The sequence below is a fragment of the Homo sapiens genome, chromosome 10 (assembly GCF_000001405.40).
Source record: "Homo sapiens chromosome 10, GRCh38.p14 Primary Assembly".
NCBI lineage: Eukaryota > Metazoa > Chordata > Mammalia > Primates > Hominidae > Homo > Homo sapiens.
In genome coordinates this window covers 5638867-5666688 of record NC_000010.11, presented here as the reverse complement: position 1 = coordinate 5666688, position 27822 = coordinate 5638867, and the positions used below count along the sequence as shown (strand labels likewise).

At 51.1% G+C, this 27822-nt stretch overlaps 1 protein-coding gene across 3 annotated transcripts, besides 3 other annotated features; it reads left to right on the top strand.

The window, feature by feature from the left end:
• Nucleotides 91-160: a silencer, noted in NCBI's record as "silent region_2082". NCBI's record gives its function as "represses an Ori minimal core promoter by ATAC-STARR-seq in GM12878 lymphoblastoid cells {active_cell/tissue: GM12878}" and the evidence as "EXISTENCE:reporter gene assay evidence [ECO:0000049][PMID:35858748]".
• Nucleotides 94-27822, top strand: ASB13 (ankyrin repeat and SOCS box containing 13). Of its 3 annotated transcripts, NR_037164.2 has the most exons (7): nt 94-180; nt 13639-13826; nt 15326-15476; nt 17585-17719; nt 24136-24216; nt 24728-24919; nt 25859-27822. NR_037164.2 is itself a non-coding variant. In NM_024701.4 (6 exons), exons 1-6 carry the CDS (start codon nt 138-140, stop codon nt 25984-25986), a joined length of 837 nt encoding a protein of 278 aa, NP_078977.2. In that variant the 5' UTR covers nt 94-137; the 3' UTR covers nt 25987-27822. The 3 variants fall into 3 exon arrangements, 1 of the variants encoding a protein (NP_078977.2); NM_024701.4 differs by lacking the exon at nt 24136-24216; NR_024581.2 differs by lacking the exons at nt 15326-15476; nt 24136-24216.
• Nucleotides 461-510: a silencer, noted in NCBI's record as "silent region_2081". NCBI's record gives its function as "represses an Ori minimal core promoter by ATAC-STARR-seq in GM12878 lymphoblastoid cells {active_cell/tissue: GM12878}" and the evidence as "EXISTENCE:reporter gene assay evidence [ECO:0000049][PMID:35858748]".
• Nucleotides 4945-5681: an enhancer, noted in NCBI's record as "H3K27ac-H3K4me1 hESC enhancer chr10:5702971-5703707 (GRCh37/hg19 assembly coordinates)". NCBI's record gives its function as "activates a minimal SCP1, AML or CMV promoter by ChIP-STARR-seq in primed H9 embryonic stem cells {active_cell/tissue: H9 hESC(primed)}" and the evidence as "EXISTENCE:reporter gene assay evidence [ECO:0000049][PMID:30033119]".

Below are 27822 nucleotides of genomic sequence, written 5' to 3'. Positions count from 1 at the left end.
GGCGGGAACTACAACTCCCGGCTCGGTCGCCTCGGGACGACGCGCGGCCCAGCGCAGACTGGCCCCGCCCAGCGGCCCCGCGCGGCCCGGCCCAGGTCCCGGCGCCCAGAGTCGCCGCGCGGCCGCCGGTGAGCCGCATGGAGCCCCGGGCGGCGGACGGCTGCTTCCTGGGCGACGTGGGTACGTGCGGGCGCCGCGGAGGTCAGAGCGAGGCAGCGGCGCCGGCTCCTGAGGCCGGCCGCGTATCCGATGGCCTGCGCCGGGGAGGTGGTGGCGCGCCCCGCGCTGGCTCCGTGGGCGGGGGCGTTTGGCGGGGTGGGCCGCGGTGAAAGCAGGGTCCCAGTGGTGCCGCGCATCCCAGACGGGCTCTCATGTCTGGTGCCTTGTCCCAGGCCAGCGCACTGCGGGGTTGCAGTCCGTGCGGCTCGCCAGGTGTGGGGTTTCGCAACCGCAAACCCACCGAGCGCCGCGCGCCCTGGGGAAGGTGCGGGACGCGTGCGGGGCCGTTGCCCAGTGGCGGGGGAGAGCCTGGGAAACGCCCACGGTGCTCCCTCTCGGGGAAGCCAGGCGCGAGCCCACGGTAAGAGCTAAACCCCCCTCCACTGGCGCGGGTGAGGCCGTGGCGCAGTGTCCGAGCATCCTGCAGAGGCGTCCGCGTGACCCCGACTCCGCTCCAGTGAAGGTGGCCTTGGGGCACCCCGGCACACTCCGAAAAGTGCCATCCCAGTTCGCAGCCTACTTTACCAAAATCCGAGCAGCCCAAGAATGAAATGGATTTGAGGGAAGGACACTCTTTGGGGAAGCAAATTTTTTTGCTGCCTATGAAGCAATAATATGGTCACTGAAATGAGCGACGGAAGCACTATGAAAGCCTAAAAAGAAAAAAAAAATCTAAAGCATATTCATCCTGGTAAAAACAGTAGTGCACCTAAGAGGGAAAAGTCTTAAGGGTAAATTTAGCTGAAGAGGAAGTTGCAGTCATAGCAAGGCAAAGATATTTTAATTGACTTTGCAAAATAACCACCTTTGACATGATCAAAGGTATCTAATAAGCATGTGTTTTTACTTGGCATTCCAGTCCAGGCAAGCACAAGACTTTGACCCTGACACTGTGATCTGCATTTGATTAGCTTAATTGAGTAAGCAGTGAATAGCTAACGGCAGAAGCTTATTTAAACACATATTTTAATATTTCTGTTCATGGCATCACTTCTGAGCATGTCTTCTGCATCGTTTGTTATGGAATGCATCTGTAGAAGAAAGGCACATTTTAAACTAATGAATCCGCAACTTTTGAGGTTCACTGGTATTTTTGACATTGTCATTTTTTATTTAATATATTTCTCCCCAAATAAGTTCTGCTGATGTTTTTTATTCCCAGTGTAATGAATAAGCTGAATGTGTTGGATCCAAAACAATACTGCCATTCCAGCAGCACCAGAGGCGAACCGTAGGAGCTTTAGACAATTTTAACATTCTGACCTCAAATTCTGGATGTGTGGTGTACCGCGACCAAAACATTTAGGTTTTGGGCTGTTGCGCAGTCTCTCATGCCTGTAATGCCAGCACTTTGGGAGGCCGAGGCAGGTGGATCACTTGAAGTCAGGAGTTCGAGACCAGCCTGGCCAACATGGCGAAACCCCGTCTCTACTAAAAATACAAAAATTAGCCGAGCATTGTGGCGGGTGCCTGTAGTTCCAGCTACTTGGGAGACTGAGGCAGAAGAATCACTCGAACCTGGAAGGCAGAGGTTGCAGTAAGCCGAGATTGGGCCATTGCACTCCAGCCTGGGTGACAAGAGCAAAACTCTGTCTCAAAATAAATAAATAAAAATACAAAAATTAGCCAAGCATAGTGGCGGGCACCTGTAATCTCAGCTACTGGGGAGGCTGAGGCAGGAGAATCACTTGAACCTGATAGGCAGAGGTTGTAGTGAGCTGAGATCATGCCATTGCACTCCAGCCTGGGCGACAGAGTGAGACTCCGTCTCAAAAATAAATAAAATAAATAAATAAAGAAATAAAGAAATTCTGCATTCCCTATGGACGTCCTTCTGTGGTAGATGAACCTCTAACCTACTGGCTGCTCCCCCACTCCCCCGTACGTTCCCCCCAGGGTCCTCCAGTAGAATTGTTTTTGTTTAAATCAGATTTCAGTGTTGACATTATTGTGACTGTGAATATTGCAGCTGAGCCACTTGCTATGTGGGGACTATGTTTCTCTTTTTGTGTAATGTCTTGCTTTTCTTGGACATGGCGGGTGTTCTTTTTGTTTACCTGTGGGTTCGGTGTTCTCCATGCCTAATCCCTAATTTATCCCCAGACAGTCTTCTTAGGCCCCTCAGGTAAGCAATGAGTCCTGTGTTCTCTCTCTCCTGGTTCAGTGTTTGGAGACGTGTGCCCTGCAGCCTTGGGTCTTCCAGCTCTGCCTGCTGCTGCTCTGGGAAGCCGGGGTGGGGGTGGGGCAGGGGTGTCTTCCTGTTGTTTATGGGGATTTGCGCATCCCTTTGCGTTCAGTGCCCTCCCAGGGGTAGTTCAGATTCCCTGCTCTTTGCTGGTCCCAACCCCGGGTGCCAAGCCCGCCTTCTGTATCCTGGTTAGCCACTGCACCAGCCTGCTCTCCAGCTCCCCCGATGGTCTGGAAATCACTCCCCAGCCTGTTTGTTTTCTACTTGTTTATATGGATTTATGTCTCCCCATCCAGGTACTCTCAGTTGAGTGAGATCTTTGCTGAGGGGCAGAGAAGATCCTCCGTGTTTAATCAGAAACACAGCTCTATCGCTCTTGATTTCAGTGTCAGAGCGGGGAGAGGGAGAATCCACTAGGGTAGCAGTCCAGGGCATTTCTAAAGGGTAGAGAGTTACTTGGAGTGGGCGGCTATTTTATCCTAAAATAGGAATTCAAAGAGGGCCTGTTGACACACCAGAAAAGCCTATTTAGGGCCAATGGAAGTATCAGAGGAAATTAGCAAGTTACAAAGGCTTAGGAAGCATGTTTATGGGCAAAACAGTACCTCTATCCTCCTCCTCGACTCGGCAGCCCTGGGAGACATTGCCTGCTGTCCTAAGGAAACTGAGGCTTAGGTGATTTAGGGTGAAAAGCGTCCCTCAGGTCCCTTAACTGAGACAGGGAGGATGCAGGATCAGAGCTCAGGGGTCCTGAGTCAGGGCCTGAGCTCCCACAGTGCCTTGAGGGTGGGACTGGGGGACCCTCCCCATGCTCCCTGGGCCATAGCCTTTGGGGTGGACCAGGGGCAAGGGAGGAGTCGGGGTAGCAGATAATTGGGTGAGTGATGAGGGAGTCAGGGGAGGAGACATTGAAGGATAATGCAGCGAATCCAGTGTGGTTTTAGCGTCCTGCAGGTGGAAGGAAATGCCTGTTATTCACCAAGCTCTCCTGACACCTTCGGTCCTTTCTCCCAGTTCCTTTACTCCTTAGCCCACCTATTTTCACCTCTTTTCTCCTTGTCTTCTGCTTTCATTTATTCTTTCCCTTTCTTTTCTCCACTCTTACTGAGTTTTGACCATTTTGTCCCTCTAAGAAGGCAAATACTGGCATTTTTGCTTCATTGAACACATCTTAAAATCAGTCTGCTGTTTGACCTCAAGTTTACCGACAAACTATATTTTGGGGATTCATAATGAAAACATTTAAAAAGACATGGTTGAAAAATATCACTGTAGCAACAAAACACTGAGCCCAGACTTGTAAGTGGGAGTTTCTACATAGAAAAATAAAGATCCATATTTTTTTTCCTTGGGTTTCAAGGACACTAAAACTGAAATTTGAGCTGCGCTATTAAAATTTGGTGATAGTGGTTAAGTGCCATGCGTTAGGCACCCTCTTTGTGCTGGGGTTGTCACGTACACTGTCTTTAGTTGTCACCATGAGATCCTTCATTTATCTTTTCCTCTGTGGTCTCTTTGTCTTTGTGGATTTAGCCCCCATTTTATTCCCTTACCGTCACTTGTGTGTGGTTTGGACAGCAGGCAGAGATGAATGGATGCTACATTTGGCTTTTTCTGGGAGTGTTAATCATCCAGGATCTCATCTCTTCTCTTCTCTTCTCTTCTCTTCTCTTCTCTTCTCTTCTCTTCTCTTCTCTTCTCTTCTCTTCTCTTCTCCCCTCCCCTCCCCTCCCCTCCCCTCCCCCCCCCTTCTCGACAGAGTCTCAGTCTGTCGCCCAGGCTGGAGTGCAGTGGCACGATCTCAGCTCACTGCAGTCTCCACTGCTTGGTTCAAGCGATTCTCCTGTCTCAGCCTCCTGAGTAGCTGGGATTATTACTGGGATTACAGGTGCATGCCACCACACCCAGCTAATTTTTGTATTTTTAGTAGAGATGGGGTTTTGCCATGTTGGCCAGGCTGATCTCGAACTCTTGACCTCAGGTGATCCGCCTGCCTCAGCCTCCCGAAGTGCTGGGATTACAGGCGTGAGCCACTGCGCCCAGCCCATCGTCCAGCATTTCTAAGGCCTTTTCAGTTCTGACAGTCAGCGCGTGTTCATGAATCCTTAGCTTTCTGGGACCCTGGGGGGCTATGTCACTCAGGACTCTTGACTTTTCCCTGAGAGCTGAGGATGAGCCCATTGAGAGCAGCATCAGAAAACCCTCCCTGGGGGCTTCCGGTGCCTGCCTTGGTTCTTCCAGGGTGGGTTCCCCAAGTGTGTGCTCGCCCGCCCCAGCCCGGCTTTATGGGTGGGTCAGGGTGGAGGGCCCACCCTCACCATTTCAAGAATGCTTACTGGGGTTTTGCAGGGAGGGCTTCTTACAGAGGCTGCTGGTTGTTTTTGACGCAGAAATGACATTTCTGCAGCCAGGACCCCAGACTCCCCTTGGTGATTTACTCGGAACAAAATTTCTGACTCCAGCAACATTTAAGAGTGCATTCTGGGCTGGGCCTGGGGCTCATGCCTGTAATCCCAGCACTTAGGGAGGCCAAGGCGGGAGGATCACTTGAACCCAGGAGTTTGAGACCAGCCTGGGCAACATGGTGAAACCCTGTCTCTACAGAAAATACAAAAATTATCCAGTGTGGTGGTGGTGCATGGGCCTGTAGTCCCAGCTACTTGGGAGGCTGAGGTGGGAGGATCACTTGAACCTAGGAGGTTGAGGCTGCAGTGAGCCCTGATCACACCACTGCACTTCAGCTTGGGTGACAGCGAGACCCTGTTTCAAAAATAAATAAATAAACAATAAGAAAACAAAATAGGAAAAAAGGTGCATCTTGGGTATTTGACCTGGATTCAAAGCCAGCATGCTACTGGATCAGCTTTGTCTGGAAGGTGTCCCTGGTGGCATTTGAGAATGCTCTTTGTTGGAGTGGGCCCTGACCCTGGAGAGGCCCCAGGCTCGGCGGGGCGGGGTTGGGGGCAAGTGGCTCTGCTGCTTTTATGGTTGCAGTCCCTGTGTGGGTCAAGTGAGGCCCGCCAGTGTGGGTGCAGGCAGGGCAGTGTGGAGGATGGGCTCTGGAGGTGCCCAGCTCTGCAGTGTGCAGGGGCCAGCAGGCCAGCTGCCTCCTAGACACAGGCTCTCTAGGGGGTGGCCGGGCCTGGGCACAGAGCTGCCACTTGGGCCCAACGAGTGGGGCTCTGGCTCTGGGATGACTGAGGAGATACTGGCAAACCAGCTGCCTAGGGGGAAAATAAAGAAAAAGAAACAAAAATAAAAGTCTGCTTTGCTGCTTTCCCTGGTCTAAATACTCACATCCTGGCTGCTTTCAAGCTGCTGGTGGTCTCCGGCCAGCAGAACCTGGCTGTGCAGCAGCCAGCTGGCGAGATGGCCCGGCACACTGCTGGGTGGCTTGCAAGGCAGGGAGCGATGGAGGGGCTCTGGTCTCAGAGGGCCCGGGAACTGAGCAGAAAAATTGGGCAGAGACTCAATCAGTCACCCGACTTAGGTAAGGATTGAGTTACTGGAGCTGGAATGCAAGATTGGGGGGCTTGCTATGGAACAAAGATGAGATGGTAGAACCCGCACCTGCCCTCCCCACAGGACTGGTAGGGTAATAATGACAGCAATGATCCTGGAGCCATGGCAGTGCCTGTTACTCACAGCATTTACAGGTGGCCAGGCACGATTTTCTTCAGTCTTCACAGCACCCATTTGAGGAGAGAGGAGGCCGAGGTTTGGAGAGGGTAAGCTGTGAGACGAGCTTTGAACTCACGAGCAGGGTGGTTCCTGCAGCTTGCCCCTGTAGAGTCTGCTCCCTGAGGGTAGGCTGACCCTGAGCCACTTGACCTGTTCAGCCAGGGCTTCCTAATCTCAAAGGACAGGTCAGTCCTGGGGCAGGGCACAGCCTTAGATGGGAGGGTGTCGGGGCCCCAGCAAAGGGGCAAGAGAGGGGAAGAGGAGCTGGGGTCCAGAAAGGTCCACACCTGGCACACGGTCCTAGCCAGTAAGGTCGTATCGTGGGTGGAAGAGTGGAGAGAACGTTCTGAAGCACGTGTCATTCCTTCTCAAGGTGACGTCTGCCGTAGTCTGCAGTAGATACATAGGTGACATCTGTGAAACTCTAGTTTTCAGGGCAAAGGCTTTTGCTTGGCTATTCATGAGCTCAGGCCTGCAGGCGGCAGGTAAACAGGAGGAGCCATAGTGTGTAACACCGTGACCCTGACCTGAAGCAGAGGAGGAAGTGGGTAGAATCCAGCCATCAGGACTGGGTCATGAGTCACCAGGGCTGCAGCCTTGGCTCTTGTTGCAACACAAGTTCTTCATTTAATGGATGCACGAGCCCCCGCTTGGCCAGAGTGTGCAAGCATCATGTTAGGTCTCAGGCCACTGTCCTGGGCTGGAAAGTGGAGCAGGGGACAGAACCTAGCGGCAGGGGTCCAAGTTCAGTCTGGCAGGGGAAGATGCGTCTGGGGAGTGCTTATTCATTCAGATACCTGCACGAGCAGCCTGTGTGGGGAGGCTGGCTAGCTGTGGTACTATTCCCAAGGTGACAGGGGATGGCCTTAGGGAAGGCCCAGGGAAGGGAGAATGCTGATCAGCTGGTGGTGGGGCAATAGTGTGGAGATGGCGTGGGGGGGTGGGCTGCATGCTCGGGAGGCTTCCTGAAGGAGCAGGGGTCCCCTCAGTCGAGGAATTTCAGCCGGAAGCAAGGTGGGGAATGGGGCTGAGAAGAGCTTTCCAGGCAGGGGAAGGAACAGCATACGCAAAGCATGGGACTTGCAGCCACTGGACTCTGTGTGAGTCGGTAGAGTTTGGTGTCACTGGACACGGCTGTGTGCATGACGGGGAGCCTGGGGACAGGGCCTGTGACTGCATGGTCGTGGACCTTGTTCCTTGCCTGGGTTCCACCCTGGAGGAGGGAGCCCTTGTGAGCAGGCCCTGTCAGACTGGCTTGTCAATCATCTGCATTAGGGAGGGGGCAACCTATTATGTGGCAGCAGTGGGTGGGATTTAGGGGCAGAACGTGAGTCCCGGAGGGAACTCGCCAGCACGGCATGGAGTCTCGGGTTTCCAAGGCGGTGCTCCGCCAAGGGAGAGGGTGCAGGGATTGGGGAGGGGGGGCGTCTTGCCACCACAGGGAGCCTGGCACAGGGGCTGGAAGCAGCCTGCAATCCATCCTGGCCAGTCCATTCACTAACAGACAGCATTTCCTGTGCTCACTCCTCATCCATTTAAGGTCCGTGACCATAAGCTGTCCTTCCCGATTCTTTTCACCTGGGACACTGACCCTGCCATTGCAGGGCTGAGTCACATTGCTCTGTGGTGGTGGGTGCTGGGGGCTGATGTTTATGAAGAGAGTGGGTCTCTTCGCCCCCTGGAAGGGCCATCGGTGGTTTGGGGGTGTCAGGAAAGGTGACGAGGTGCACCCCAGGCACCTGCTGTCCTCTAGCCTTCTATCCCTCCCTTCCCCACTGTAAATCTCCTATGAGGACAGCCTGCGGGTGACAGTCCCCCCATGCTCTAGGTCCTCCAGCTTCTGGTTACTTAAAAATTTTTTTTTTCTATTTTTAATTGTAGTAGAGAGCACAGAACACAAAAGTTACCACCTTAGCCATTTCAAGTGTCCACTTCAGTAGGGTTGAGTACATTTACATTTTTGTGTAACAGATCTCTAGAACTTTTTCATCCTGTAAAACTGAAATTCTGTCCCCATGAAACACTAACTCCCCATTTCTCCTCCCCCAAGCCCCTGGCAACTACCTTTCTACTTTCCATCTCCATGAATTTGACTACTCGAGGGACCTCACATAAGTGGAATCATACAGTATTTGGCTTTTCAGAAATGGCTTATTTGGTTTTGTTTTTTTTTTTTTTTTCAGACAAAGTCACCCAGGCCGTAGTGCAATGGCACGATTTTGGCTCACTGCAACCTCCACCTCCTGGGTTCAAGTGATTCTCCTGCCTTAGCCTCCATAGTAGCTGGGATTATAGGCATGGGCCACCATGCCCAGCTAATTTTTGTAATTTTAGTAGAGATGGGGTTTCACCATATTGCCTGCCTCGGCCTCCCAAAGTGCTGGGATTAGAGTTTTGAGCCACTGCACCTGGCCAGAAATAGCGTATTTATTTATTTATTTTTGAGACAGAGTCTCTCTCTGTCACCCAGGCTGGAGTGCAGTGGTGTGATCTCAGTTCACTGCAACCTCTGTCTCCTGGGTTCATGCGATTCTCGTGCCTCAGCCTCTGAGTAGCTGGCACTACTGAAGCACCATGGATTACAGCCACCATGCCTGGCTAATTTTTGTATTCTTAGTAGAGACAGGGTTTCCCCATGTTGGCCATGCTGGTCTCGAACTCCTAACCTCAAGTGATCTGCCCGCCTCGGCCTCCCAAAGTGCTGGGATTACAGGTGTGAGCCAGCGTGCCTGGCCTAGAAATGGCTTGTTTGACTCAGCATAATGTCCTCAAGGTTCATCCATGTTGTAGCATGGGACAGGATTTCCTTCATTCCCAACGCTGAATAATATTCCACTGGACACTTGGATTGTTGAGAATAATGCTGCTATGAATGTGGGTGTACAAATGAATCTCTCCTCAAGACCCTGCTTTCAATTCTTCTGGAGATATGCCCAGCAGTGGAGTTGCTGGATCATATGATATCCTATGTTTCATTTTTTAGGAACTGCCATACAGTCTTCCACAGTGGCTAGACCATTTTATATTCCCATCATCAGTGCACAAGAGTACCACTTTCTCCACATTCTCGCCAACACGTATTTGGTTTTTTTTGATAATCCTAACAGGTGTGAGGTAGTATCTTATTGTGGTTTTGATTTGCATTTCTTTAATGATTAGTGACCTTGAATACCTTTTTTTTTTATGTTTGTGGCTGTGTGCATCCTGTTTAGAGAAATGTCTGTTCAACTCGTTTGCCCATTTTTAAACCTGGTTATTTGTTTTTTTTGTTTTTGAGTTGCAGGAGTTCTTTATATATTCTGGACTAACCCCTTTTCAGATATATGACTTGCAAATATTTTCTCCCATTCTGTGGGTTGCCATTTCACTCTGATTGTGCCCTTTGATGCACGGAAGTTTCTTTTTTCTTTTTTTCTTATCATGTCTGCTGCTAATTTTTGCCCTGAATTGCTGCAGTAAGACTACAGCAGCTGATGTGATTCACTAGAAATAAGTTGCATTTCCTTTGTAGACTGGTGATACAGAGAAATAAAATTAGATTTTCTTTTAAAAATTTTATGTCTAGTTGTAACTGAACCCAGATTTGGCTGCTTACTGCTCAAAAGCCAAATACGAGAGACAAGAGTTGGTGGCAGGTTTATCTGGAGAGCCAGCAAACCAGGAAGATGGTAGATAAGTGTCTAAAGTGCCGTCTAAGTCAGTACAGGTTTCGGGTTCTTAATTATGTTAAGGGCAGTGGGAAAAAGAGGCTGTTGGGATCAAGAGGTAACCAAGGACCAGTGACATCTGGGCACCAGTGAAGGTCCTAGGAGGTTGGGAACATCTTTGTCCTTGATCAGGTCGCAGTGCTCCTATAAATCTTTAACAAAACATAGCTAGTTGTTTACATGCTTTCCTTTTAATCCCAGAGTTAATTTCAAAGCTACACGTTTGCTCTTTTTGCATATTATCTTAATGCTCTAAAATTATCCTAGCCTCTGTGTAAGAATGGATAAAGGCCCCTCAAACAAAAATGTTAGTTCTTTTGCTGTTTCACTGCTACAGACTTTTTTTTTTTTTCTTGAGACGGAGTCTTGCTCGGTTGCCCAGGCTGGAATGCAATGGTGCGATCTCAGCTCACTGCAATCTCCGCCTCCTGGGTTCAAGCGATTCTGCTGCCTCCGCCTCCTGAGTAGCTGGGATTACAGGCACGTGCCACCACGGCCGGCTAATTCTTTGTATTTTTAGTAGAGATGGGGTTTCACCATGTTGGCCAGGCTGGTCTCAAACTCCTGACCTCGTGATCCACCCGCCTTGGCCTCCCAAAGTGCTGGGATTACAGGCTTGAACCACCTTGACCAGTCAGACTTTATAATTGGTTTTAGTAACTCCTTCCATTCATTTACTCATCCACTCACTCACTGAGCAACCACGTGGATACCAGCATCTTCTTGGACAGTGCCAGGTTCTGGGGTACAGAGGTGAATAAGCGGTGCCTGAGATAGACCCGGCTGCAGCTCTGCGGCCTCTGTGACCTTCCCTGGCCATCCCTGGGCACCGGGGCTCTTAATTCTGAGTCCCTGTCACCAGACATGATCGCAGTTGTCATGTTGTGAATTATCTGCGCATTTATTCCCTGGTCCCTGACTGTGAGCTGCCTATTGCTGCATCTTAGTCATCTTTGCGTGTGGCAGCGGAAGACGCTAAATCCACCTGGACGTCTTGTGAATGGAGGCACGTCGGGAACGCGCCTTCCCGGCTCAGGTGGCCTCCTGAGATGCACTTTCTTTTTTTGCTGCAAGACCTAGGCCTTACCCTGCCTTCCTCTTCTTTTTCAAGTGGCAGCCTCTCCTTCTACCCTTAGGATTTTGCTCCCTGCGGATTGATTTTAAAGTGACACTAAGCCACTTCTCACTAACCTCAGGAGGGCAGTGGGTTACTGTTCATTACTACTGGTGGGGCTGAGGGCCACCTGGAGACGGTGAGTAGAAAGTTCCACAAGCTTGACTTTTACATTTTGTGGGGATCGAATCTTCCTTTGTGGTTCAGTTCTCCCTAGTCCCCACTTCCACTGACATAGGGTCACCCGGGCTCTTTGGCTGTGGACAAGACAGATAGCTACAATTGGAGGCAAAAATACTACAAACAGACAGTGTTTATTGAGCACTGATTCGGTGCCAGGCCCCACCCTTTAAGTGCATCTACCTATTTCAATTCACTGAATGTTCATAGTCCACCTATGAAGAGAAACTATTGTTATCACAACTTACAGGTAAAGAAACTGACACTCAGGGAAGTTGTGTTTTGGGTAAGCTGATAAAAGGCTGAGCTGAGTTTCCACCAAGCAGTTCTGAGCAGTTGTGGCTCCAGGGAACTCTTAACCCTGTACTCAGTGCCCAAGGCAGAGGTGGGGGAAGGTGGCAATGTGGGGATCTCTAAAAGCAGAGTCGTCAGCACTAACTGATGAGGCTACCCACCTGCAGAGGAAATTCGATGCAGACACTTTTTTTTTTTTTTTAAAGACAGAGTTTCACTCTTGTTGCCCAGGCTATGGTGCAGTGGCGTGATCTGGGCTCGCTGCAACCTCCGCCTCCCGGGTTCAAGTGATTCTCCTGCCTCAGCCTCCCAAGTGGCGGGGATTACAGGCATGCACCACCACGCCCAGGTAATTTAAAAAAATATTTTTAGTAGAGACGGGGGTTTCACCATGTTGGCCAGGCTGGTTTCGAACTCCTGACCTCAAGTGATCCGCCCGCCTCAGCCTCTCAAAGTGGTGAGATTACAGGCATGAGCCACCGCACCTAGCCCAGATGCACTGTGTAAAAGTAAGATCTGGGGAAGATCCAGGTGATAGGAAGGTTTTTCAGGGACATGTCAGAATAGTAAGAGGAAACTGCTGATTGAGAAGAGGTGTGTGATGTGATCTTGTCTGCTCGAAGATGGAGAGTTGACAATAAGGATATGTCATCAGCTTTCATCCAGCACTGTTGTCATTTGTGACATTTTAAAGTGTCTGGAAGACTCCTCCGTGTCTGAGATGGGTGCTGAGAAAACACGTGCGTGGTTTCTGCATCTGGGGAGTTTACGGTCTGTACCAGTTAGCGAGCTTTTGTCTGCACCTGGTTTAGACAATAAAGAAACATGACTAAGCCCGGCCATTGTCTTGGCTCCAGGCACCTGATGGTCCTTGACTCGTCCTCCAGGTTCCAGTCCTTTCCCGGCTTTGCCATTCCTGTAGGTCCTGTCTTCAGGCAGGTAGCCAGATGGCTCAGCAGGTCCAAGTTCACATCCAGGCAGTATCCAGGGAAGGAAGGGAGACAGCCTTCCCCTGGAGCTCCTTCTTGGGAGTGAGCAGAGTGTGGAAGCTTGGAGGCCTCTTCGCAGACTCTCCCTCACCTCTGCTTAGCTAGAGTTGTGTTGGATGCTGTATGGGAAATAGGATCCCTATGATTGACTGAGACAAAAAAAAAAAAAAAGAAAAAAAGAAGAAAACCCAGTTAACATCGTCCTTAAAGGTGAATGACTAAATGCTCTCCCCCGAGACTAGAAACAAGACAAGGATGTTGGCTCTCACCCCTTTTGTTCCACATTGCACTGCAAGTCCTAGCCAGAGCAATTCAACAAGGAAAAGAAATAAAAGAGCTGGGCGTGGTGGCTCACACCTGTAATCCCAGCACTTTGAGAGGCTGAGGTGGGTGGATCACCTGAGGTCAGGAGTTTGAGACCATCCTGGCCAGTATGGTGAAACCCCATCTCTACTGAAAATAGAAAAATTAGCTGGGTGTGATGGTGTGTGCCCGTAATCCCAGCTACTTGGGAGGCTGAGGCAGGAGAATCGCTTGAACCCGGGAGGCGGAGGTTGCAGTGAGCTGAGATCACACCATTGCACTCCAGCCTGGGTGACAGAGCGAGACTCCGTCTCATAAATAAATAAATAAATAAATAAATAAATAAATAAATAAATGGCATCCACATTAGAAAGGAAGAAGTTAAATGATCTTTGTTTGCAGATGACATGACCTTGTATATAGACAAGCCTGAGGAAGCCACTAAAGTGGAATAATTAAAACAGGGATTCTCAAGGCACTCGAGTGCAGGAGACACTGTAAATGCAGGGGTCTGAGCGTGTGTGCGTGAGCATTGTGGGAAGTGTTTCCCAGAGAAGTTGTTTTACCTGGGCCCACCTGGAGGATGTAAACGTTTCACCAGGAAATTGCAGAGTGGACAATTGGCAGGGGGGCAAAGGTGGGCATGTCAGCAGAGAAGGATGTGCAACTGCAGGGGAGTGGTGAGCACCTGTGCCTGCAGAATATGCAGGGGCAGGGGTGGGAGGTGGACTGTGGAGGTGAGCGGGGTCCACAGGACGGAGCCCCTTGTAGGCCTTGCCCAGGAGCTTGGACTCCAGCTGTCAGGCAGTGGGGGTGGCTCAGGGATCTTTGTAGAAGTGCTGGGACAATTGCATGATCACGGATGGTGCCTTGGTGGCATCAGGGACCCTGGAGTCTTACGTGTGCTCATTTGTCCTGGATGGAAGTGGCAGGGTCTTAGCCTGAGGTCCCCTTCCTTTCCAGGTTTCTGGGTGGAGCGGACCCCTGTGCACGAGGCAGCCCAGCGGGGTGAGAGCCTGCAGCTGCAACAGCTGATCGAGAGCGGCGCCTGCGTGAACCAGGTCACCGTGGACTCCATCACGCCCCTGCACGCAGCCAGTCTGCAGGGCCAGGCGCGGTGTGTGCAGCTGCTGCTGGCGGCTGGGGCCCAGGTGAGTGGCCCTTCAGGGCAGACCCCCAGACTGGCTGCAGCTGCCAGAATGGAGGAGGTTGACTCAGGAGAACTTGGGAAAGAGGGGAGGATGGGGGCTGCACTGTGTCCACTGCACACAGGTACCAGGAAGCCCATGGCTGAGAAGTGCTCGTGGACCTGGCTGTTAGGAGGTCACGGTGGTGGAAGAAAGGGCAGCCTGAGCAAATTGATGATGGGAGTGCCAGCCCTGTGGTGGGCAGGAGCCAGCAGGCTGGCCGCAGCCTAGACACAGGCTCTCTCAGGGGCAGCCAGGCCTGGGTGCAGAGCTGCTGCTTGGGCCCAAAGAGCAGGTTTCCGGCTTTAGGATAACTCAGTGGGATGCTGGCCAGCCAGCTCTCTGAAAAAAGGAACAAAAACAAAACTGTGTTGCTGCTTTCCCTGGTGTAAATGTTCCCACCCTGGCTAGTATTAAGCCACCGGGGGTTTCTGGTCAGCAGAATTCCTGGCACATTGGCAGCCAGCTCTCCCGAGCTGGCAAACACTGGCCCTGCACACCCCTGGCCAATGTATAAGTGACACAGGGACCTGGTCTCAGAGTTCAAGGGGTGAGGAAGAAGGGAAGACAGTGTACTGTTTACTCTTCCCAAAAGGTTGGAATGGAACCGATTTCAGTGTGTACCCAAATAGAATTTGAATTTGGACAAATGCTAAATAAAATTTGCCAATTTGGGGAGTTGCCTTTTTCCTGGCCTCTGACTTTCTCACTAGGGGAGGCGTGGTAAGCTGTCTCAGGCATTCCTTCCATTGAGGTTAGAGTTTTGTGTGTGTGTGTGTGTGTGTGTGTGTGTGTGTGTGGTTTTTTTTTTTTTTTTTTTTTTTTGAGATAAGGTCTTTCTCTGTCGCCTAGGCTGGAATGCAGTGGCGTGATCATAGCTCACTGCAACCTCATCCTCCTTGACTCAAGTGATCCTTCCACCTCAGCCTCCTGGGTAGCTGGGACTATAGGTGCATGCCACCAAACCCAGCTAATTTTTGTATTTTTTGTAGAGACAGGGTTTCGCCATGTTGCCCAGGCTGGTCTTGAACTCCTGAGCTCAAGTGACCCTCCCTCCTCGCCTTCCGAAGTGCTGGGGTTACAGGTGTGAGCCACTGTGCCCAGCTGAGGTTAGGGTTTTTAAAACTCATTTTTAAAGCCTGCCTTTCCCAGCTTGCAGCCTAGGGTTCCCCTGTCCTGCTCTGTGCTTACTAGGTGTTTGGGGCGGGGGTGGCGAGGGGGCTGCTGAGCTTATCCTGCCCTGAGAGAAAAGAATCCTGAACGAGATGACTTCTCTACTCAGGAGGCCGTCGGTGCTCCGCAGCCACGTGCTATCTCTTTCAGTGTCGTTGCCTAGCACATAATAGCAAAGCAAACCGGTGCTTCTAAGAAGCATCTTAGCAAAGATGAACCTGCAGCAGGATGGGAAAGTGGGTTGCGTGGCATTTCTCTGCCCTTTGACACTTGTTTCTTCCTCCCGTGAGGTGGATGCTCGCAACATCGACGGCAGCACCCCGCTCTGCGATGCCTGCGCCTCGGGCAGCATCGAGTGTGTGAAGCTCTTGCTGTCCTACGGGGCCAAGGTCAACCCTCCCCTGTACACAGCGTCCCCCCTGCACGAGGCCTGCATGAGCGGTGAGTTGGCAGACGGCTGGGCTGGCCCAGCTGGGCTCTGGAAGTTTCCTCCTTTCTGGGATTAAAGGGACTTAGGGAAGGAAGCAGAGTAGACAGAATTGGGAGCCCTTGGCTGGTGAAGGAGAGTTCTGAGTCTGTTTCTGGCTCCTGGTGGCTCAGCTGCAGAGATTCTAAGCTTTCCCTTCTTGAGGTCTTCGTCCAGGGCTGGGGTGGGTGACTCTAGGGTAGGATTCTGTGTCCAAGCCAGGGTTCCCTGGGCCTCTCCACGTTAGCAGGGCCTGGGGGACTCTGCAGAGGCTCACTTGGGCTTTGCTACAGTTTGCTCTGCAGGCCCCTGATTGAGATGGGAGACGACAGAGAAACGTGTCCCAACAGCCTGGGCCAGGAGGCTGTGCGTGGTGCTCTCAAAACAGTGCTGGTCCTGCAGGCTCAGGGAGCAGGTGGGACCTCATCTGCCCCCCAAGAATAGGCAGACTGCAGATGCTGGGAAGATAAAAGGGCACCCCGAGCATGGGGAACATTCCTTGTCCTATCTTACTGCATCAGAAGCTCCCAGTGGAGCAGAGAGGACTGGAATTTAGGGTGAGACCAGCTGGTGGGAAGATGTTTAAATGACAGACTAAGGAGTTTAGATTCTACTCTTTCGAGCAGAGGTTGCAAACTGTGGCTTATATCTTGACCGGCCAGCATGGCCTTTGTCTTTGGATGCACATCTGGGGTGCAGGGTATGGGGTATGTGCCCTTCCACGGTGCTGGCAGGGCCATGGCTGCATGTGGCTCACCCCTGATTCCTGCTCGTAGGTCTTTCCATGTCTGCAGGCCATGGGACAGCTCCAGGGAGCTCTTGAAGGTTTCTGAGCAGATGTCGAGGGTCAGGAAAACAGAATTTGGGGAAGGTTCATTTAGTGGTCCTCCATGTGCAGATAGACGGAGGTGCAGTGGTGGCTGGGGTCTCCTGGAAGCAGAGGGATGAGTTGGGGACCATCGCTGAGATCAAGGTGCCCAGTGCTCAGAGTAGGCTGGTGGAGTGGGATGGTTTCATTTAGTAGGGTTGGGGAAGGAATCCATAGGATTTCGTATGAAGGGGAGGCTCAAGAGGTCAGAAATGAGTCAGGTTTGAGTCAGGAGCAAGGACCCCAGGAAAGGGAGAGGGCTCTAGAGTGGGAGACACCGGCCGGTGGCCAGCACATGGCTCTGGGGCTGGGGCTGGGTGTGAGGCTGGTGGGGAAAATTAGGGAGCTGCCAACAGTGAAGAGGTAATTGAGTGAACGGAAAGGTTGGAGCCTAGACGGAATGTGCAGGGGCGGGAGGATGGGGGGCCTGGAACCCCGCTCCAAATCCGCATTACAGACCCAGGAAGAGGAGCCACTTAAGAGGCAGGAGAGGCCGGGCGCTGTGGCTCATGCCCTTGGTAATCCCAGCACTTTGGGAGGCTGAGGTGGGCGGATCACCTGAGGTCAGGAGTTTGAGACCAGCCTGGCACATGGTGAAACCCTGTCTCTACTAAAAATACAAAAAAATTAGTCGGGCACGGTGGTGCATGCCTGTAATTCCAGCTATTTGGGAGGCTGAGGTGGGAGAATCGCTTTAACCCGGGAGATGGCGGTTGTAGTGAGCTGAGATCGCACCACTGCATTCCATCCTGGGCAACAGAATGAGACTTTGTCTAAAAAAAAAAAAGAGGCAGGAGAGGCGGCTGCCGTGGTGCACAGGAGGATGACCTGCATAAGAAAGTCTGGGGGGTTTCCTGGGAGGCTGGGCTCAGTGCTGACAGCCGCAGGTAGACACAGGGCAGGGGGGCAGCGGGGGAGTTTTCCCTGACCCATTCTAGGTGGTGCCCCATGTCTTCTGTTCTCACAGCAAGAAGCCGGCCAGGCCCGTTTCTCCCACTGCCTTGAGCCCTCCGTCCTCAGCGGGGCGCAGAGCCGTGTCCTGGCTTCCTGAGGGCCATGCGGGTCATGAACTCCTCCCTAGGTTGGGACGCAGGCCTGCCTGGCTTCCCTGCCCTGCACCAAGGATGGAGGCTGCTGCCCCTGCCGCGTCTGTGTGCTTGTTGTCTCCAGTGTCCGTATTCAAGGACATTCCCCCCCTTTTCCATTTATCTTAAGGGAGTTCCGAATGTGTGAGGCTTCTTATTGACGTCGGGGCCAATCTGGAAGCGCACGATTGCCATTTTGGGACCCCTCTGCACGTTGCCTGTGCCCGGGAGCATCTGGACTGTGTCAAAGTGCTGCTCAATGCAGGTGAGTGGGTGTTTGCCCGAGCGGGTGTTTACCTGAGTGGGTGTTTGCCCGAGCGGGTGTTTACCTGCGTGGGTGTTTGCCCAAGTGGGTGTTTGCCCGAGTGGGTGTTTACCCGAGTGGGTGTTTACCGGAGTGGATGTTTGCCCGCGTGGGTGTTTACCGGAGTGGGTGTTTGCCCGCGTGGGTGTTTACCCCAGTGGGTGTTTGCCTGAGTGGGTGTTTGCCCGTGTGGGTGTTTACCTGCGTGGGTGTTTACCCCCGGGGGTGTTTGCCCGCGTGGGTGTTTACCCGAGGGGGTGTTTGCCCGAGTGGGTGTTTGCCCGCGTGGGTGTTTACCTGCGTGGTTGTTTACCCCCGTGGGTGTTTACCCGAGGGGGTGTTTGCCTGCGTGGGTGTTTGCCTGCGTGGGTGTTTACCTGAGTGGGTGTTTACCTGAGTAGGTGTTTGCCCGCGTGGGTGTTTACCCGAGTGGGTGTTTGCCCGAGTGGGTGTTTACCTGAGTGGGTGTTTGCCTGCGTGGGTGTTTACCTGAGTGGGTGTTTGCCTGAGTGGGTGTTTACCCAAGGGGGTGTTTGCCTGAGTGGGTGTTTGCCTGCATGGGTGTTTACCCCCGTGGGTGTTGCCCACGTGGGTGTTTACCCGAGGGGGTGTTTGCCTGAGTGGGTGTTTACCTGAGTGGGTGTTTGCCCACGTGGGTGTTTACCTGAGTGGGTGTTTACCTGAGTGGGTGTTTGCCTGCGTGGGTGTTTACCTGAGTGGGTGTTTGCCTGCGTGGGTGTTTACCTGAGTGGGTGTTTACCCCCGTGAGTGTTTACCCGCGTGGTTGTTTACCTGAGTGGGTGTTTACCTGTGTGGGTGTTTACCTGAGTGGGTGTTTGCCTGCGTGGGTGTTTGCCTGCGTGGGTGTTTACCTGAGTGGGTGTTTGCCTGAGTAGGTGTTTACCTGAGTGGGTGTTTGCCTGAGTGGGTGTTTGCCTGAGTGGGTGTTTGCCTGAGTGGGTGTTTACCTGCAGAGTGTGTATTTATGGATTTATCTGAGAAGTTTGCCTGAATGGGTATATACTTGCAAGGCTGTTCACCTGAGCAGGTGTTTACTTGCACGAGCATTTACCTGAACAGGTATTTACTGTGCCTAGCAGAGAGCTGGGTAGAGGAGTCAGAGGGACCAGGGTTGGAGGCTGGCTCTCTTACTTGCCAGCTGAGACCTCGGGCCTCAGTTTACATATCTGTAACACTGGAAGAATCTATGCTGCAGGTTGCTGGGAGAACTGAGGATGTTTCCCCGGTGCCTGGTGTGTCCTAGTAGGTACTCAACAGATGCCAATGATTATTTCTAGAGATCACAGGCCACTGTCCCCACAGCTGCCTGGTGAGGTTGCTGCCTGAATCCAAGAGAGAAGGGGATGTAATGGGAAGTGGAGTTGGCAGCGTTTAGGAGAATATGGAGCATTTGGAATCCAGGCCATTGTCGGGTGTTCGAAAAGACTCAGGATTGAGATTCCCAAAGAGGGAAAAAAATCAAAACCAAAAAGACCAACCAATCGAGGATTAGGCTCAGGACCTGTCTATACCAAAAGTTTTAGCCAAAGTGACTGTTAGCACAGGGTTTTTATCAACCCAACTTAAATGTTTTGTTGAGGGAAAATTTTAGTTTCATCATCTTATCCAAATTCTGGGTGTAGTGTAGGATAAAAACAAAACTGTTTAGGATGGCTGGGCACTGTGGCTCACAGCCATAGTCTCAGCACTTTGGGAGGCTGAGGCGGGAGGATTGCTTGAGCCCGGGAGTTTCAGCCAGCCTGGGAAACATAGCAAGTCCCCTTCTCTTAACAACAAGAACAAACCTGTTTGGGAACAGGAAGATCATGAATTCCCCCTGATGACAGCCATTTGAGCTTAGTTATGTGTAGTTTTTTATTGGAGAATCTTACTCACTTTCATGTGCCACTTTTCAGTCTTTTTAGTGGAAAAGATTCGTTTTGTGTAGGAATAGTTGTTGAGGTACTTTTAATTTTTTTATACACTGTCTTAGAAGTATCTCCATTGGAAGCAGGTGTAAGCGTTTCCAGCCGAGCCGTTCCTCTGGCAGCTGGATCCGTTTCTATGAACACAGCGCAGTGCGTTCATATCAAGCCTTTATGAGCTCAGTACACACGAGTTCCATTTTTACCTTCGTTCTGTTTGGTGTGGTTGTAGGGAAAGGGATCAACTTAGTGTTTAAAGCAAACATCCTTTCTGTATCAGTTAGGACTTCATGTCAGTTGGACACCTTTGCGAGTAACAGGAAGCCACTTCCACTGGTAAACAATGGCGGGCATTTCTAGTTCAGGTGACTTCAGGGCTGAGACGCAGAGCAGGATTAGGGGCGGCTGGACCGGAGGTTCCGTGGTGTCACCCAGGCCTCAGTTTCTTTGAACGTTGCGATTCTGCTTTCCTCAGTATTGGCTTCATCCTAAGCCTCCGGCCTCCCTGAGCAAGGTCACGGGGCTGCAGTGGCTTCAGGCCTACACGCCAGACGTTTCCTGTTTTAAGCCTTCTGGAGGCTCTTTCAGCGGAGTGGAAAATCCCTTTTCACACACCCCTCCCCAGTCCCTTTGCCCAAACTTTGCCAAATTCTGATGGGCTGAAGCCTGGGTCATTAGAACTAATTACTGTGGTCAGGGGAGAGGGATTGGACTAGGCGGGACCCACGCTGGAGCTGAAGTCAGGTCTGCTCCCGCCCCCACCACATTACCAGGTGGCAGCACAGTCGGGGGTGGGGGCTGGAAAGGAAGGGGCAGCTGTGAGGCCCACTGTCGCCCTAAAGTGGGGTTCCCACAGCTCTCCCCGGGAGTTTGCATGCCCCTGGGGAGTTAGAGGTGAACGTGGCTTTCTTGGGGAAGCCTCCGCACAGTGACTGTTGGTGTTGGCTCGATGCTGTGGGTAGCATCCAGCCATCAGCTCCACGCGGGATTCCTGGTTCCCATCCTACTCTTGGGTGGTCTCCTCTAGTACCCCTTGTGAGAGCAGATGGATCATCATCTTCTTCTTAGAAACCATTTTTTCATTGCGGAAAATTTCAAACATACAGAGGAGAGAGAAACAACAGCATCCCCTACGTCCTCACAAACAGATTTTTAAAAAGTAGTGATTCTGATCTTTTGGGGTCAGGTCACAGATCCCTCGGGAAACCAAAGGAAAGCCAGGGACCGTGTCTCTAGAAAAACAGAAGAGTGGAAAGTCCCTTTTCCTGCACCCCTCCCCAGTCCCTTTGCCCAAACTTTGCCAAATTCTGATCGGCTCAAGCCTGGATCATTTGAACCAGTTACTGTGGAGAGGGGAGAGGGATTGAACCAGTCGGGGCCCACATGAGTGCAGGTGCTTTCATGTGCGGTTTGAGAGCTGAGCTGTGAGGCAGAGCCACGTTGCACCCCACGGGGGACGTGGAGACCGTTGTTCTTGTTCTTTGTAGGCAGTGAGGCGAGTCCAGGAACCAGATTGTATTTGCAAAGGAGGAGGGCTGGGGAGGGTGAAAGTCCGGTTATGATGGTGAAGTAATTTTTAATCTGATCACTGACAGTGAATGTTGAACTCTGCCAGGAGTGTTCGGAAGCGGCTCCCTGAGGACGGTCCTGCTTCCACCTTTGTTCTTAGCACTGGCCCTGGCACAATTTAAAAAATTTTTTTAAAATTGTTGTTTAATTTTTAAAAAATTTTTTAATTATAATTTTTTAAATTTAATTTTTTTTTTCAATTTCTCTTGTGGTAACAAGCACCTATTGAGCTATTTGTGTTTATGTTCCAGGATTGTGCCAGTCTTGGCGTGCTAAGGTCTTAGGCGGTCCCGTCACGTCACTGGCCACGGGTTCTCTGAATCCACTTTAATCCTATTTTGTGTTGAAAGCAGGATTTTGGTAATGAGCCTGTGTTGACCCCTTTTCTCTGAAGCACGAAGTTCAGAGCTTTTAATTCCCTGCTTGTTTCCTGGCTCCCTGTCTTTGTCTCTCTCTGTCTCTGTGTCTCTGTCTCTGCCTCAGTCTTTCTCTTGCCTCTCAGTTCAAGGTATGTTACCATCCTTGCTTCACACAAAGTTACTTTCTTTCCCTCTCCTACCCTCTTTCTCTCTTCCTTCTTTCCTCTGTATCTGTTCCCTTCTTTCTTTCTTTTTTTTCTGAGATGGAGTCTCGTTCTGTCACCCAGGCTGGAGTGCAGTGGTGTGATCTCTGCTCACTGCAGCCTCCATCTCCCTGGTTCAAGCGATTCTCATGCCTGAGCCTCCTGAGTAGCTGGGATTATAGATGTGCACCACCACGCCCAGGTAATTTTTGGATTTTTAGTAGAGACGAGGTTTCACCATATTGGCTAGGCTGGTCTTGAACTCCTGACCTCAGGTGATCTGCCCGCCTCAGGCTCTCAAAGTGCTGGGATTACAGGCATGAGCCACCGTGTCTGGCCCTGTTTTCCTCTAACGAGTACCTGTTTATGTTCTCTTTCTCACTATGGGCCTCACTCTGTCATCCAGGCTGGAGTGCAGTGGTACGATCGTGGCTTGCTGCAGCCTCAACCTCCCGGGCTCAAGTGATCCTCCTACCTCAGCCTCCAGAGTAGGTGGGACCACAGATGTGTGCCATCACGCCCCCCGGGTAATTTTTAAATTTTTGTAGAGCTAGGGTCTCACTATGTTGCGCAGGCTGGTCTCGATTTCCTGGGCCCAAGAGATCCGCTCGCCTCGAATTCCCAAAGTGCTGAGATTACAGGCGTGAGCCCTGTACCTGGCCCAAGCATATATTTTTAATGAACATAGCTGATCGAGTTTCATCTCTGACTCTCTTCTTGGCTCACTCAGTGCTATACTTTCAGGATCCATCCATGTAGCTGCCTGCACCCCTGGCCTGGTGTTTCCCTTCAATCCCTTATTCACAATTTCATTTCCTTCCTTATTCACCTTCCTTCCCTTCCACCCAATCAAATGATGCCAAACACACATTTTGAAAAGATGTACATTGGGAAGGCTGCCTCCCTGCAAGAGCCCCTGGCCAAGGCCTCGTCTGTGGAGCGTGGCAGGGAGCGTGATTTTTAGAGCTCTTTCCAGCCATGGTTTTCTCCCTGATCGTGAGAGAGTAGCTGTGCCTCCCTTGGGCCTCTTTCTCTGTTTTTCTTCTTTTGTTAAAATAGAGACCATCTCTTTCTCTCCCAATTGGCAAGAATATTGCCAGAATTAATGACATGAGAGAAAGCTACTTGAACTTTAGATTCTGTGGATGGTACAATTTGTTTTTCATTACAAGCATATGTTTAGTGTTAAAATTTACTTCGTGTTATGATTGCAACATTATACTGGAGGAAAACCCCTTATGTGAAAGAGAGGTTGAATTGTGGGGAAATATTTCTTTAATCTATTGCTTTTGAATATTATTTTTTTGTAGTACATTTCTGCCAAATTCAGGACATAGATAAGTTAGCATTTTTCCTAGTTGAGAGATCCTTTTCCTGTTCTGACTTCTGAGTTTTGGCTGCGGGAAGTGGAAAGAACTTTCTTAAATTATGTCATCACTTTGGAGGGCTGGGGCGTTCTTAGGATCCCTCCACGAATGCTGTTATGAGCATGGTTCTTATGTGCTTTTAGGGGATTAAAATATTTTAAAGCAGAAAGCGGGATTTTTCCGATGCTTTTTGAGCTAGAGGAACTAGAAAATGTAAAAGCGTTCCACCTCTCAGCTCCTCTTTTGACCCTCTGAGACTGTCGGGAAGTGATGGCATGCTAGTGTCTGATTGTTTTAAAATCCCACTTTTGATAATACTTTATGTTTGTGGTTTGAATCTATCATTTGGCGAATTATTTTACTGATGCTGGGCGATTTGCTTGGCTTCTTTAAAACACTTCTCTTTTATTTGTTTTCTCTTATAACCTCCTTTGTTACTTGAGGAACAGACTTCGAATAAAATGGCATTTTCTTTCAAAAGAATTCTGAAGCCCTGGGGGATTCCATTGTATCGGATCAGTGATGGCTGTGCCCTAAGAATGATGTGTTACAAAAATCATATTTTTATCAAAATTTTTTTTAGTGTGTTGCAAAATGCCATATGTGACCAGGTGTGGTGGCTCATGCCCGTAGCCAGGAGTTCGAGACCAACCTGGCCAACACGGCAAAACCCCGTCTCTACAAAAAATAGAAAAATTAGCCGGGCATGGTGGCACACCTGTCATCCCAGCAACTCGGGAGGCTGAGGCAGGAGAATCGCTTGAACCCTGGAGGCGGAGGTTGCAGTGAGCCGAGATCATGTCACTGCACTCCAGCCTGGGCAACAGAGTGAGACTCTGTCTCAAAAAAAAAAACCCAAAACCAGCCATATTTAGCTACTAATTCCTTGCATCTTTCTGAATGTCTGCTCTTTTTTTTAAAAAAAAATTTTTTTTTACCTTTACTTTTAATCAGCTTGATGAATGTCTGCTCTTATCGTGAGAAAGTTGAGGAGTGCAGAGCTTACTCTCTTCTCTGAATTGCCTACTGTTTTGGGTACGTTATCTGTTTTCCTTTTGTAAAAGAATATGCATTGTTAAGGAACATTTATTCTTTCATTCAACCAGTATTTCTGGAGCCTCCGTCCTGGGCCCGCAAGAGGAAGAAGCAGTGTGTGTCTGTGCTGGAGGCCAGGCGGGAGTGCTTGAGTGGCTCTGGTTTGAGCTTCCGGAAATCTCAGGACCCCTGAAGGCAGATTGATAGGGCATTAGAACGGTTGTTTAACTCAGGACATTTTTCGTTTTATTTTTCTTCTTTTCGGTTCTATTTCTAGTTATTTCTTTATTATTGCTGCCTACCTTTATCTCTCATGAGTGGGGACAGTAAGTAGTTCCTGCTTTTGGATGTTGAAAAACATTTTTGAAAGCTACGGTAGAGTCTGTCCTGATTTTGTCTTCTGGGTGGGGATTGCTTCTGCCACCGTGCTGTGTGACGAAACGGACCTGATTGTCCCCCTGACTTCAAGTTCTCTTCTTGGTGAAATCTCTTCTGCACTCTTGACCTCCAGGGGCCAACGTGAATGCGGCAAAGCTTCATGAGACTGCCCTTCACCACGCGGCCAAGGTCAAGAATGTTGACCTCATCGAGATGCTTATCGAGTTTGGCGGCAACATCTACGCCCGGGACAACCGCGGGAAGAAGCCGTCTGACTACACGTGGAGCAGCAGCGCTCCCGCCAAGTGCTTCGAGTACTACGAAAGTGAGACACCCCACCGAGCGCACCCCATCCCCTCCAGCCTTCAGCCTGGACCCCTGACGTGCCGGCTCCCTGTGGGCTTCCGCGGAGAGCTGGGCTGTTAGTCCTGGCTCCTGTCCTCTGCGCTAGGACAGACCCTTAAGCACTTTGCGGGGGCTGTTTGTGCTGTTGCCCCAGCTCTCCCTGGGTTCCCTGTGGCCCGTGGCGTGGAGCAGCAGAAGCTGTGGCCGACACCTGCCCGGGCACCAGACCTGTGCCTCCTGTGCTGGACATTTGACAGATGAGCCTCCTAGCTGCAGATTAGTTGTTTGATGACAAGTTTGGGTGCTGAAATATAATGCCGTGTCTCAAAAAACCAAAACCATGGTTTTGAAAAGGCGCAGTGGCTCACACCTGTAATCACAGCACTTTGGGAGGCTGAGGCGGGCAGATCACCTGAGGTCAGGAGTTCGAAACCAGCCTGGCCAACTTGATGAAACCCCATCTCTACTAAAAATATAAAAATTAGGCGGGCATGGTGGTGGGTGCCTGTAATCCCAGCTACTCGGGAGGTTGAGGCAGGAGAATTGCTTGAATGCAGGAGGCGGAGGTTGCAGTGAGCTGAGATTGTGCCGCTGCACTCCAGCCTGGGTGACAGAGTAAGAGATTCTTGCCTCTGTCGCTTTTTTTCTGTCTCAAAAAACAAAAAACAAAAAACCTCAAAACCAAACAAACTCCCAAAGCCCACAAAAGGCAATCCCAGTGGACATCATGCCCCGAACTTCATTTCCTGGGCTCCCTTCCTCGGGTTCCTGGCTGTCCTTCCAGAGAAGGCCTACAGGACACATCCCGGTTCCAGGGGAAAGGGAGGCGTTTCCGATTCCCTCTGAGTTTGTGTTCCATTGCAGGTGTTGTGCTTCTTCCTGAAATTAACCTCACATCCTTCCTTGCTCCCTTTTTCAGAGACACCTCTGACTCTGTCACAGCTCTGCAGGGTGAACTTGAGGAAGGCCACTGGCGTCCGAGGGCTGGAGAAGATTGCCAAGTTAAACATCCCGCCCCGGCTCATTGATTACCTCTCCTACAACTGAATTGCAGGTGGGGTCCGGACCGTGGCTGCCCCCGTTGTGCCCAGCATTGCCCGGGTGAGGGCTCTGCCTGTTCCTCTGAAGCAGCGTGATTGCTGTAGATAGAACAACGCTCCTTCGAGTCCCTTCCTGCGATCCTGTTTAGGCTTCTCTCCTGGATCCTGGATAATGTTTCCAGGGTGTTGGGAAGGCCTGCGTCTCAGGTCACAGTTGTGGGTGTGGCCCTGCGCTGTTCTACAGAACCTACCCTCTCAATGGGCATGGGCCCAACCATCCAGTTTTCCTCTTTTACGGACCATCCTCAAAGGCACTCTCAGGACAGACGGCGTGGGGAGCACAGAGGAGGCTGGCAGAGCTGGGGACTGAGGGCATTGTTGCTGATTCTCACTCACCGGGGCAGCCTGCCGCAGATGCACAGGCCCCAGGTGCAGGCCACCACCTCCGGGTCGGCACCAGGACTGCCCTCGGTGCTCATAGGGAATGGCTGGGCCCACGGAAGGTCGGCCTGGGATGTGGCCTGGGACTGCTGCTCTGCTGGCTGCTGTGTGGATGCTTTTCCTGGAGCACTTTCCAAGGCATCCCCCAGCCCCAAGCCTGCGCGCATCTGTCACTCAGGGACTTTCTATGGGTCTTTGTGGGGGAAGGCCCTGGCTTTGTATTCCCCACAAGTAGCACTGAGTTTCTTAGGAAATTTGTCTTCAGTATTAGGTCTCCAACTCTTGTAAAAAGTTTATATGTAGGATAAAAACCTTTTAGAGGACACGTAGGCGGTACCACTAAGGTTTTGGTAATGAGCCATTCAAACCGACAGCAGTGTGAAGGTGTGTCAAGGTGTATATTCTCGTGGCTCGGCATTCTCAGTGCAAAGGCCTGTTTGGAGACTCTGTGGGAATTGTTTTTCATCTGTTTCTATGGTTGTCAAATGAATTCTTCACCCACCCTACAGTTTGCTAACTCCTTGAAGCTATCAAATTAGTAAGACCATCTATCACATCCAGCATTGTCCCAGTGCTTTGAGTTGGACGGGAATGGGACTCTGCAGCCAAGGCAGGATAAGAAAATCTTGCAATCCCGTCCTGCAGTGATAGAAACAGGTCGTTCTGCATTATAAGCCATAGGTGGAGCATTCGGTAGCGTATTCAGACTGCATGGGCCGGCCTAGGAGTCTTTGCCTTCATAAATTTTAAGAACCCCGCCCACAACAGGGAGTTAAACTGGAGGACTTTGCATGATTAGTTCAGGGATGAGTGGTTTCTGGGGCATCTGAGGTCAGGAGTTTGAAACCAGCCTGGCCAACTTGATGAAACCCCATCTCTACCCATTCTGGAGAACAGGTCACGCCTGTCCTGGAGACAGTGTGCCGGGAAAAGGGAACGTGGTACTCACTGGATGCACCCAGGCCGGCCCGAGCCTCCCACCGCAGACAGTGTGGAACAGAGTGAGCCTGAGCTGCCCAAGGCGATGCCCTTTGTGCTGTATGACTGGAGGCCTCTCCGCGTGGGTACTTGGGGGTGGGGCCACAAATCTGGCGAAAAACTTCATGCTGGCCGCCGTGAGGTTTTACTCCAGCGTTCCCGCCATTGTCATGGCGGGTCTTCGTCCTAAACTGAGAAGAAAAGCATTCCTGTTTGATCACCGCCTTAGTTACCAGTTCTGGATCAGTCAGTGTTTCTGCATGGAATAACAACCATTAAAAAAAGCACTGGGTTCTGCCCTTTCATCTTTGTAAGAGATTCTTGCCTCTAGCAATGACAACCTGTGATGTCTCACAGTAGAGCACTTAGCGCAGAATCAGGTCCCCACGGCTGTTGCTCAATAAAAGTGGCGGAATAAAGTGCA